At 40.3% G+C, this 13,158-nt stretch overlaps 1 protein-coding gene across 2 annotated transcripts in view, besides 2 other annotated features; it reads left to right on the top strand.

The window, feature by feature from the left end:
- Positions 1-10,372, top strand: part of IKBIP (IKBKB interacting protein) — a 31,385-nt gene extending 21,013 nt beyond the window's left edge. For both annotated transcript variants that reach the window (NM_201613.4, NM_201612.4), the window contains one exon: positions 9,436-10,372. In NM_201613.4, coding sequence (NP_963907.1) covers positions 9,436-9,469 — 34 coding nt within the window. In that variant the 3' untranslated portion in view covers positions 9,470-10,372. The remainder of the gene's footprint in view (positions 1-9,435) is intronic.
- Positions 10,778-10,967: an enhancer, noted in NCBI's record as "active region_6848". NCBI's record gives its function as "activates an Ori minimal core promoter by ATAC-STARR-seq in GM12878 lymphoblastoid cells {active_cell/tissue: GM12878}" and the evidence as "EXISTENCE:reporter gene assay evidence [ECO:0000049][PMID:35858748]".
- Positions 12,919-13,119: a silencer, noted in NCBI's record as "peak1907 fragment used in MPRA reporter construct". NCBI's record gives its function as "represses an SCP1 promoter by STARR-seq MPRAs in K562 erythroleukemia cells {active_cell/tissue: K562}" and the evidence as "EXISTENCE:reporter gene assay evidence [ECO:0000049][PMID:32103011]".

Below are 13,158 nucleotides of genomic sequence, written 5' to 3'. Positions count from 1 at the left end.
ACCAATATCCTAAAACACATTTTTGTATCTTTGTAACTGATAATAAATTTTATGTCAATTAATTTCTTATAAAGTGGCCAGGCACAGTGCCTCATACTTGTAATCCCAATACTTTGGGAGGCTGAGGCAGAGTGGCTTAAGCCCAGGAGTTTGAGACAGCCTGGGTAACATAGTGAGACCTCGTCCCTACAAAAAAAAAAAAAAAAAAAAAAAAAGTGTAAGGAGGAGTAAGGCCAGGCACAATGGCTCACTCCTATAATTCCAACACTCTGGGAAGCTGAGGTGGGAGGATCGCTTGAGCTCAGGAGTTCAAGACCAGCCTGGATAACATGGTGAGACCTCATGTCTACTAAAAGTCAAAAAAAAGCGCATCCCTGTAGTCCTAGCGACGCAGGAGGCTGAGCCCAGGTGTTCAAGGTTGCAGTGACCTGCACCATTGCATTCCCAGCCTGGGTGACAGAGCAAGACCCTGTCTCAAAAGCATAACAGTACTGGATCAGCTGGGCGCAGTGGCTCACCCCTGTAATCCCAGCACTTTGGGAGGCCGAGGTGGGCGGATCACCTGAGGTCAGGAGTTCAAGACCAGCCTGGCCAATATGGTGAAACCCCGTCTCTACTAAAAATACAAAATTAGCCGGGCATGGTAGCAGGCGCCTGTAATCCCAGCTACTCGGGAGGCTGAGGCAGGAGAATCACTTGAACCGGGAGGCAGAGGTTGCAGTGAGCCAAAATCACGCCATTGCACTACAGCCTGGCAACAGAGTGAGACTCCATCTCAAAAAAAAAAGTAAAAGTACTGGATCAATTTTTTTAATGTTAACAGGAATAAATCACTTTTACAATACAAGCACCTAATTATTTTTAAACTTTTGAATATATAATTTTTAAATGTAATATTGCCTTAAATTTTGCTTAATGATCAGAAACTATTGACTAATTATACTTGTATATTTTATAACCAAAAATCTTGATTTATTAGCCTGTGTGGCTTCATAGAAAAACCCATAAGATGCAAAATTAGTAGTATTATTTTTCTTCTCAACCTAATTGTAGACCTTTGTATGAATCTATAACATTGTTCAAATTTTGATATGATGCCATTACACAGTAATGATGCTGAAAATTTACCAAACTCAATAAGAAAAAAAAAAAAACATCCTTTGTAGACTTACCCCATATTTGCACAGTTGACAAAAGCTCTACAAATTTTCCTAGCACCTGCTCATTTCAATTTATAAGCTATTAATTAATTTTGGGACAGGGTCTCACTCTGTCACCCAGGCTGGAGTGTAGTGGCGTGAGCACTGCTCACCACAGTGTCAACTTCCTGGGCCCAAGGGATCCTCCCATCTCAGCTCCTCCGATTGCTGGGACTACAGGTGCACACCGCCATGCCAAGCTAATTTTATTTTTTTGTAGAAACAGTCTCATTATGTTGCCCAGGCTGGTCTCAAACTCCTGGGCTGAAGCAGTTCTCCCATCTGGTCTTCCCAAAGTGCTGGGATTAGAGGTGTAAGCCACCATACCCAGCCTATAAACTATTAATTTAATACAAATCAAAATACTCCACCCCAGCTTTACACAGCAGGAGAGGAGAGAACTAACACTTCAGCACCTGTTAAAATGACATACCCACACGTATGTCAAGCATTTCTAGGAGATGTACATTCATCATAATCATTCCTTTTTTTTTTTTTTTTTAAGATGGAGTCTCACTCTGTCCCCAGGCTGGAGTGCAGTGGTGCGATCTCAGCTCACTGCAACCTCCACCTCCCGGGTTCAAGCGGTTCTCCTGCCTCAGCCTCCCGAGTAGCTGAGACTACAGGCATGCGCCACCATGCCCAGCTAATTTTTGTATTTTTAGTAGAGATGAGGTTTCTCCATGTTGGCCAGGATGGTCTCGATCTCTTGACCTCGTGATCCGTCTACCTCAGCCTCCCAAAGTGCTGGGATTACAGACATGAGCCACCGCGTCCAGCCTTCATTATCGTCATCATAACAGCTCTATATATTGATTACCTACCTTGTGCCAGTCATTATCACTAATCCTTACTACACCTTTACTAGCTATTAGACCCATTTTACAAATAAGGAAATGGAGACTTAGGAACATTGGGAATCTTGCAGTCACACTGTAGACCTAGGTCTGTTCAATTCCAGAGGCCAAGGACATCTCACTACACCATGGAGCCTGCTACTGTTCAACTAGGGGAGAAAAATCACAACAAATCTGCTGTTAGTAGAACTATCTCGATAACTCAAAAAGCAATAATTGAGTCAAATGTGTTCTCTACCATGTTGCCATTAAACCAGACTCAGTCCCTCAAAAGCTGTAGCTGTGCTCTAAAATTGTTTGGCCCTTGAGCATGAGAAGGAATCAATAAATGAATAAATGTTGGAGAAGAGGAAAAAGCAGTGCTGAAGAGTCCTAGGCTGTACTCCTCTAATCTATTAATAGGTTTTGCCACTGCATATTCTGGGCACTTTATTTTAGGGCTTAGGTTTTTTTTGTTTTGTTTTGTTTTTTGAGACAAAGTCTTGCTGTGTCGCCCAGGCTGGAGTGCAGTGGCACAATCTTGGTTCACTACAACCTCCGTCTCCTGGGTTTAAGCAATTCTCCTGCCTCAGCCTCCCAAGTACCTGGGATTACAGGTGCCTGTCACTACACCCGGCTCATTTTTTGTATTTTTAGTAGAGATGGGGTTTCACCAGGTTGGCTAGGCTGGTCTCGAACTCCTGACCTCAGGTGATCCACCCACCTCGGCCTCCCAAAGTGCTGGGATTACAGGTGTGAGCCACCACGCACGGCCACTAGGGCTTAGTTTTAAATAGTAAAAGGAGAGAATTATATCAATAATCCCTAAGATGCCTTCTGGCTTTAAGTGGTTTTATTTACTTATTTACCCTTTTTTTAATATAAAAAAAAGTAGAGGTGAGGGTCTCTCTATGTTGCCCAGGCTGGTCTCAAACTCCTGACCTCAACGGATCCTCCGTCCTTGGCCTCCCAAAGTGCTGGGATAACAGGTGTGAGCCACTGCGCCTGATCTAAATGGTTTTAAATTATACAGATCAATAAAATTTCCAGGTCCTTTAATAGAATTCAAAGAACCTAGCTGGGTGCAGTGGCCCACGCCTGTAATTTCAGCGCTTTGGGAGGCTGAGGTGGGTGGATCACGAGGTCAGGAGATCGAGACCATCCTGGCCAACATGGTGAAACCTGTGTCTCTACTAAAAATACAAAATTAGGTGAGCGTGGTGGTGAGCGTCTGTAATCCCAGCTACTTGGGAGGCTGAGGCAGGAGAATCTCTTGAAACCAGGAGGCAGGGGTTGCAGTGAGCTGAGATGGCGCCACTACACTCCAGCCTGGGCGACAGAGCAAGACTCCGTCTCAAAAAAAAAAAATCCTTTAGCAAGTTTTTAGAAAGCAGATTGGACCTAGAAATCATATTCTTGAACCATGTTGCTGTGCTTGTAGATCCAGGCAATGTTTAACATTACAGGACAGCATCTAACCTCATACCTTGAATATATGATAGGAATTTAATAAATATTCTGGCCGGGGGCAGTGGCTCATGCCTGTAATCCCAGCACTTTGGGAGTCTGAGGTGGGCGGATTACTTGAGGTCAGGAGTTCGCAACATGGTGAAACCCCGTCTCTACTAAAAAAAAAAAAAAAAAAAATAGAAAACTTAGCCAGGTGTGGTGGTGCATGCCTGTAATCCCAGCTACTTGGGAGGCTGAGGCCGGAGAATCACTTGAACTCAGGCGGCAGAGGTTGCAGTGAGCAGAGATTGCACCACTGCACTCCAGCCTGGGCAATAGAGTGAGACTCCATCTCATAAATAAATAAATAAATAAATAATCAAATCACTGATGTACTTTTTTTTTTTTTTTTTTTTTTCTGAGAAAGGGTCTGGTTCTGTCGCCCAGACTGGAGTGCAGTGGCATGATCTCAGCTCACTGCAACCTCTGCCTCCCAGGATCAAGCCATCCTCCCAGCTCAGCCCGGCTATTTTTGTAATTTTTGTAGAGATGGAGTTTCACCATGTTGCCCAGGCTGGTCTTGAACTCCTGAGCTCAAGTGACCCATCCACCCCGCCTCACAAAGTGCTGGGATTACGGGCGTGAGCCACCATCCCCAGCCTTCACTGATGTGCTGTTTTCAGCTACTGATAGACTCTAACTCTTCTATCCATCCTAGGCAAATAGGTTAACCAAACCCGAAGTAATTTTTAAAATAACTTAATACAACAATCTGTAGACTATTACCACACTGTATTGAGCTTATATTTTCATAAAGATCAATAGAAGTTCATGATACATTGCTATTATAAACAACCAAGTGAAACAAAGAGGTTTACTAACAGCTTCTTCCTAATAATCTGATCCTTCTAAGAATAAGCTAAGCTCATTCATCAACATCTTAATTGTTTAATTGCTATTAAGCTACTTTTACCAGAGTAGATACATTAATAAATGATAACCTGGTAATGAAATAGATTAAAGTAGCCGTCTAGTCCTTTCTCCCTTGGGAGATTGTTTCATCAAATACACTATGTTGCAAAACTTCCTCCTTAAAAATAAAATGTGATTTTGCAATCACTTCTTGGTTTCCTTCCTATTTGTGGCTACCGCTTAATGTCATACCCACAGGAACATTTCGCAAACTCACTTCTCTACCAAAAAACACATTTTGGGCCACCTTATCCACCAATAATTAATTTAAGCATAAAGCAATTGAGGAGAAAAATCCTCAAGTGTATTTTGAAATTAAACATTTATGATGGGGCGAAGTGGGGGGGTTGCTACTTAGAATTATTTTGTCCTACTGTCCCATTTCTGTACTTCATTATAATTATTTTGCAACTATATGGATGCTTCTTTTTAAAGCTGCCCTCAAAATAATATTCTGAGCATAATTCATTTTTATTTGTGTTAAGTAAAACTAAATGTATGATAACCAAAATAATCTCAAAAGGTTGGCATTAGCCAAGTAATCCAAATACAATTTAAGAAAGATAATTCAAGCTAGGTGTGGTGGCTCACGCCTGTAATCCCAGCACTTTGGGAGGATCACTTGAGCCAGGAGTTCAAGACCAGCCTGGGCAGCATAGTGAGACCCCCATCTCAAATTTTTTTTTTTTTTTTTGAGACAGAGTCTGGCTCTGTCGCCCAGGCTGGAGTGCAGTGGCACAATCTCGGCTCACTGCAAGCTCCGCCTCCCGGGTTCACGCCATTCTCCTACTTCAGCCTCCTGAGTAGCTGGGACTACAGGCGCCCACCACTACGCCCGGCTAATTTTTTGTATTTTTAGTAGAGACAGGGTTTCACTGCATTAGCCAGGATGGTCTCGATCTCTTGACCTTGTGATCCGCCCACCTCGGCCTCCCAAAGTGCTGGGATTACAGGCGTGAGCCACCGCGCCTGGCCTCAATTTTTTCTTTTAAGAAAGATAATTGATAAGAAAACATTGAAGAAATACACAATTATTTTAGAAAAAAAGATATCTTTAGATTAAACTGCATATTTAATTTTGTAAAAATGTTTTACAGTCTATTTGTTTTTATAAATTTTAATTTCAATTTTTTTGTTTTAGAGATGGGGGTCTTGCTATGTGCCCAGGCTGGAGCACAGTTGGTATTCATAGGCACAATCATAGCACACTACAGCGTCAAACTCCTGGACTCAAGCTTTTTTATTTCTTCTTTTCTGAATTTTAAGTAACACATTTATCGACATTCTGTGTCCCAAACTAAACTACAAACTCCCTAAAAGCAGAGACTGTTCTTGATCATACTAGGACATACTGTAGTACAGTATATGCTGTCAAATCAAACTAGTTTTGGTTATTAATAGAAAGTTATAATTTCCTACTTTACAACATAGTACTTTCCTAGAAAACAAGCTGAAAGTTAAATATGCAAAAGTCAAATGATTGACTTACACATTATAAATGGGATTCTTTTTCCAGAGTAATTACTGTATATCTGTCTTTGGGCATACGCATTAGCAATGTATTTCTAGCCATTTTACATTTGTTTCTTAATTTATTTTTCTTCATAATTGAGCACACAGTCCATAGGCTAATCTTCTGATTGAAGCTAAATAGTCTTACCTGATTTCCATCTTTGTTTTAATTGTACGACTTTATCCAACTTTGTGTGGTTTATGAGATCTACCCATCTTATCGCTATGTAATTTTCCCTTCTTCATTTTATTAACTGATGGCACAATGCAATAAAATGTCAAATATTTAAAGTTCGATAAAATACTCAACTCCCCAACACTGCTATATAGGCACGCACATGTGTGTGCACAGACACAGGACCATCACCACAAACAACAACAAAAATAACAACTCAAGATGTTGCCAGACACTTGGGTGGCTCCAAATGTTTATCAGTTAATGTGTCCAAGTTAAATCAAGGTGACAATTTAAGAGCTTTCAGTTCATAATGTATAGTGGGGAAGAAGGATGACATTGAAACATACAAAAGTTGAAAAACAGCTGCATTTGGAATCAGAATTTTAGAACCTTGGAAATTCTTTTCTTTTACTTATCTGTCTTCTCTACTAAACTAAGTTGAGGCCACAACTCGAGTTATACTCATCTTTATGTTCCACATATTTTGCATGCCTAACAACATACTAGGAACTTGAGAATTTGAATTATTCAAGGTCTCATGGATAGTTAGATAGGCCAGAAAACTGTTCATAAAAGTTACAGGCCAATAAAGCGTAGACATATAGTCTTGGACATTGGTCCCTTCATTCTAGCATTTGCTATAACTTATTTGCAGTTGCCTTAGACCCCGAATAGCCAAAGCAATCTTGAGCAAAAAGAACAAAGCTGGAGACATCACACTACCCGATCTCAAAATATATTACAAAGCTGTAGTAATCCAAACAGCGTGATACTAGCATTTAAAAAAAAAACATAGACTAATGGAACAGAGAGCCCAGAAATACTTCTACAAGTGTATGTTCAAATGATTCTCATCCAAGTTGCCAAGAACACACAAAAGGGAAAGGACATCTCTTTAATAAATGCTGTTGAGAAAACTGGATATCCTATGCAGAAGAATGAAACTGGACCCTTATATCAAACCATATACAAAAACCAATTCAAAATGAATTAAAGACTTAAATGTAACACCAGAAATTGAAAACCGCTGGAAGAAAACATGAGGAAAAAGCTTCTTGACGTTAGTCTTGGGAAAGATTTTTTTGAATAGAACCTGAAAAGAACAAGCAACAAAAGCAAAAATAGATAAATATGATTGTGTCAAACTAAAATCTTCTGTACAGAAAAGGAAACAGTCAACAGAGTGAAGAGACAACCTATAGAATGGGAGAAAATACTCATGAACCATAAATCTGAGAATGGCTTAATATCCAAAATATATAAGGAACTCAACTCAATAGCAAAAAAAAACCCAATTAAACAATGGGCTATGGACATGAATAGACATTTCTCAAAAGAAGACATAGTAATGGCCAACAGGTATATGGAAAAAAATGCTCAACATCACTAATTATCAGGGAAATGAAAAATTAAAACCACAATGAGATATCAACTCACACCTGTTAGAATATTTATTATCAAAAAGACAAAAGATAACAAGTGTTGGTGAGAATGTGGAGAAAAGGGAACCATCGTACACTGTGAGTGGGAAAGTATAGCCATTATGGAAAACAGTGTGGAGGTTCCTCAAAAAAAAAAAAACTAAGAATAATCATATGATCCAGCAATCCCACTTCTGGATATATATCCAAAAGAAATGAATCAGTATGTCAAGGAGTTTTCTGCACTCCCATATTCATTGCAGCATTACTCCCAATAGCCAAGATATGTAGAATCAACCTAAGTGTCAATCAACAGATGAATGATAAATAACACACACGCACACACACAAAATGCGGTTCTCCCTTTAAAAAGAAGGAAATCCTGTTATTTGTGACTACATGGATGAACCTAAACGATATTATGCTAAGTGGAATGAACCAGGCACAGAAAGACAAATACTGCATGATCTCAATTATATGTGGAATCTAGAAAAGTCAGACTCATAGAAGTACAGAGTAGAATGGTTACGAGGGATTGGAGGGGACAGGGTAGGACAATTGAGAGATGTTGATTAAAGAATACAAAGTTTCAGTTAAACAGGATGAATAAGTTCTGGAGATCTATTGTATAGTATGATGACTGTAAATAATAATAATATATACTTGAAAATTGCTAAGAGGCCGGGCGCGATGGCTCATGCCTTATAATCTTAGCACTTTGGGAGGTCGAGGCGGGCGAATCACTTGAGATTAGGAGTTTCAGACCAGCCTAGTCAACATGGTGAAACCCTGTCACTACTAAACAACAATCAGCCAGGCGTGGTGGCACACAACTGTGGTACCATCTACTCTGGAGACTGAGGCAGGAGAATCACTTGAACCCAGGAGGTAGAGGTTGCAGTCAGCAGAGATGGGGCTATTGCATTCCAGCCTGGGTACAGAGTGAGTGAGACTTCCATCTCCAAAAAAAAGAGAGAATTTCTAGGAGAGTAGATCTTAAATATTCTTACTACAAAAAAAAATACATGAGGTGATAGATATGTTCATTAGCTTGATTTAATCATTCACAATATGTGCGTAGATATGTATATCAAAATATTACATTGTACACAATAAATATATACAATTTTAATTTGTCAATTATACCTTAATAAAGCTGAAATAAAAAAGAACTTATGTTGCCTTGTCTCACCTAGCAAAGCTCAACTGGAGGAAACTTCCTTTTCCCTTCTCCAGCAACTGAAAAACCACATCACTGTCTCATGTAGCTCATTTTATTACTGTACAGAAGACCAATTGTGAAAATATTATAATGTAAAAAATGTAATTTCCAGGGACATTTCATGAAATTTTCTTAATGTTTCCTTCTTATTCATTAGTAATTCACTTACATTGTTCTAAATTCTCTTACTTCTGAAGTCGTCTTTTACCATATGCTTTCCAGAAGAACAGTAAAGTGTAGTTAAAAAATAACATAAGGCAGGGCGTGGTGGCTCACGCCTGTAATCCCAGGCATGGATTTAGGAGGCCGAGGTGGGCAGATAACCAGAGGTCAGGAGATCGAGACCAGCCTGTCCAACATGGTGAAGACCCGTCTCTACTAAAAATACAAAAAAAGTTAGCTGAGGTGGGGGCGGGTGCCTGTAATCCCAGCTACTTGGGAGGCTGAGTCAGGAAAATCGCTGGAACCCAGGAGGTGGAGGTTTCAGTGAGCCAAGATCGTGCCACTGCACTCCATCCTGGGTAACAGAACAAGCCTCTGTCTCAAAAAAAAAATTAAAATTAAAAAGAAATATAAAATTTAAGATGAATTTTAAATGGTAAGCTTCTAATACATTTAATCATTGTGATATTATATTTTCTTATAGTGGCAGAAATCTGAAGCTATCATGGAACAATTGAAGTCTTTTCAAATAATTGCTCATCTAAAGCGTCTACAGGAAGAAATTAATGAGGTAAAAACTTGGTCCAATAGGATAACTGAAAAACAGGATATACTGAACAACAGTCTGACGACGCTTTCTCAAGACATTACAAAAGTAGACCAAAGTACAACTTCCATGGCAAAAGATGTTGGTCTCAAGATTACAAGTGTAAAAACAGATATACGACGGATTTCAGGTTTAGTAACTGATGTAATATCATTGACAGATTCTGTGCAAGAACTAGAAAATAAAATAGAGAAAGTAGAAAAAAATACAGTAAAAAATATAGGTGATCTTCTTTCAAGCAGTATTGATCGAACAGCAACGCTCCGAAAGACAGCATCTGAAAATTCACAAAGAATTAACTCTGTTAAGAAGACGCTAACCGAACTAAAGAGTGACTTCGACAAACATACAGATAGATTTCTAAGCTTAGAAGGTGACAGAGCCAAAGTTCTGAAGACAGTGACTTTTGCAAATGATCTAAAACCAAAGGTGTATAATCTAAAGAAGGACTTTTCCCGTTTAGAACCATTAGTAAATGATTTAACACTACGCATTGGGAGATTGGTTACCGACTTACTACAAAGAGAGAAAGAAATTGCTTTCTTAAGTGAAAAAATATCTAATTTAACAATAGTCCAAGCTGAGATTAAGGATATTAAAGATGAAATAGCACACATTTCAGATATGAATTAGTTTGACATTATTGAGATTAGACTAAGGTAATTTTTTTAATGGGACCTCTCATGAGAAGACTGGTAAATCAAAAATAATGATATTTTGGAGCAAAAGTCATTTTATATTTAATCCTATTTTGTACAGTAAAAATAAAACTTTAAAACAGGTTGATTTTCCAAAATAAATATGCTAAAACCTATTTTTGCAACTTTACATAGCAAGAACTTTATCCATCCTTCTGACATACATGTTGTTACCCACACACACACACACACACACACACACACACACACATAGGAGAAGCAGAATGTGCTAGTTAGCATGGGGAGATCTCGAAGGGGCAGGATCTGAATCCCCACTTGCCCTCTCTGGCTGCCAGGGAGCCCAGCATGTGTGTTTAGGGACCTAACTGAAGGGACCCCTCAGGGGACAGGGCTGCGGCATTCATTATCCAGTTAGAGGAAGAGAAACTAGAAAGGTCACAGTGAGCTGCAGGGGAAAAAAAATAAAAGCCTATCTGGGTCCTTCATGGCTTTAGGAAACAGGGAAAGGAACAGTAGTGTCTCGGTCTATTTGGGCTGGTGTATAATAGTATAGCAAGAACTTTAGGTAGCCTGTAACTAACAAATTTATTTCTCACTGTTCTAGAGGCTGGAAAGTCTGAGATCAAGGTACTGGCAGATTCAGTGTCTAGTGTGGGCCCACTTCCTGGTTCATAGCACCTTCTAGCTGTGTCCTCACGTGGTGGAAGGAGCAAGCAGCAATCTGGGGCCTCTTTTATAGGGGCACTAATCCTGTCCATGAAGACTCCTACCTTATGACCTAATCACCTCCCAAATGTCTCACATTGGATTTCAACGTATGAATTTTGGGGAGACACATTCAGGCCATAGCAAGTAGGTTACTTAATAAAAGGGGCTGGAAAGTGGCTTCTAGAGCAAGGGTTGTGGGGGAGGGTGTAGATTGAAGGGGGCTTGCCAAGCCTCAGACAGACTCTGCCTCAAAGCAACACAACTCGTCTGATGAGGATGTGACCAGAAGTAGCCAAAGCAACTAGAAGAGGAGGCCCTAAATCTGGGCGCCGTGGCTCACGCCTGTAATCCCGGCATTTTGGGAGGCCGAGGCGGGTGTAACACCTGAGGTCAGGAGTTTGAGACCAGCCTGGCCAACATGGTGAAACCACGTCTCTATTAAAAATACAAAAATTAGCCGGGCAAGGTAGTGGGCACCTGTAATCCCAGCTACTCGGGAAGTTGAGGCAGGAGAATCGCTTGAACCCAGGAGGCAAAGGTTGCAGTGATCAGACATCCCACCATTGCACTCCAGCCTGGGAGACTGGGAGACAAAGCAAGACTACATCTCAGGGGGAAAAAAAAAAAGGGGAGGGGGGAGCTCTAACAGCATTGGCAAAAGTTTTATCAATTCCAATTACATAAAACTTTAGAAAATGCAAAATAATCTAAAGTGACAGAAAGTAGATCAGTGGTTGCCTGTTGCATTAGGATTCTCCAGAGAAACAGAGCCAATAGGATGGATGGATAGACAGATGATTGATAGGTAGGTAGGTAGGTAGGTAGGTGGGTGGTGGATGGATGGGTGGATAGATTAGATAGATAGATAGATAGATAGATAGATAGATAGATTCTAGGAATTGGCTCACATGATTATGGAGGCCAAGAATCACACAATCTTTCATCTGCAAACTGGAAAACTAGGAAAGCCAGTGGTTTAATTCAGAGTGAGTCTGAAGGCCTGACAACCAAAGGAAGTGATGGCCTAAGCCCTCGTGAAAGACCAAAGGCCCAAAACCAGGAACACTGATGTCTGAGGGCAGGAGAAGATAGATGTCCCAGTTCAAAGAGTAGCAGATTCACCCTTCTGCCTTTTTTCTATCCAGGCCCTCAATGGATGGGATGATGCTCACCCACATTAACGAAAGTGATCTTCTTTATGCAGTCTACCAAGTCAAATGCTAAGCTCTTCTGGAAACACTGTCACAGACACACCCAGAAATAATGTTTTACCAGCTATCTGGGCATCCCTTAGCCCAGGCAGCTTGAAACAAAATTATCCATCACAACTGTAGATAGAGATGGAGACAGGTATAGATTACAAAGAGCCACAAGGAAAAGGAGTGAAGGATGTTTATTATCTTCATTGTGATAGATATATGTCAAAACTCATCAAAGGGTACACTTTTTAAATTTTTATTTATTTTTATTTTTGAGACAGGTTCTCACTTTTTCACCCAGGCTGGAGTGCGGTGGTGTGATCATGGCTCACAGCAGCCTTGACCTCCTGGACTCAAATGATCCTTCCACCTCAGCTTCCTGAGTAGCTGGGACTACAGTCTCAAGCCACCATGCCTGGCTAATTTCTTTTTTCTTTTTTTCTTTTTTTTTCTTTTTTTTGGTAGAGATGGAATCTCCCTATGCTGCCCAGGCTGGTCTTGAACTCCTGGGTTCAAGTGATTCTTCTGCTTTGGCCTCCCAGAGTTCTGGCATTACAGTATACACTTGAAATATTTGTGTTTATATGTGTAATCTCTCATCAATATATGTTTTTAAGTACACTATAATAACCTAAAGTAAACCCACACAGCATTAGCCCCAGTTTCAAATGCCTAGCGTGAAGGATATCCAGATCCACAGAGCTGGTCACCTCAAAAATAAGAGTTTATGAATTCTGTGTGTTTGTTGTTGTTGTTGTTGTTGTTGTTGTTGTTGTTTTGAGACAGGGTCTTATTTTGTTGCCCAAGCTGGAGTGCAGTGGCATGATCATGCCTCACTGCAGCCTCTTGTCTCCTGACCTCAAGCAATCCTCCCACTCAGCCTCCTGAGTAGCTAGGACTACATGAATTCACCACCAACCCTAACTACTTTTTTAATTTTTTTTTTTTTTTTTTTTTTTTGGTAGAGATGAAGTCTGCCTATACTGCCCAGAGTGGTCTCGAACTCCTGAAGTCAAGCAATCCTCCTGCCTTGG

This window comes from Homo sapiens, chromosome 12, assembly GCF_000001405.40.
Source record: "Homo sapiens chromosome 12, GRCh38.p14 Primary Assembly".
Classification (NCBI taxonomy): domain Eukaryota; kingdom Metazoa; phylum Chordata; class Mammalia; order Primates; family Hominidae; genus Homo; species Homo sapiens.
This window is presented reverse-complemented; position numbering and strand designations above follow the sequence as displayed.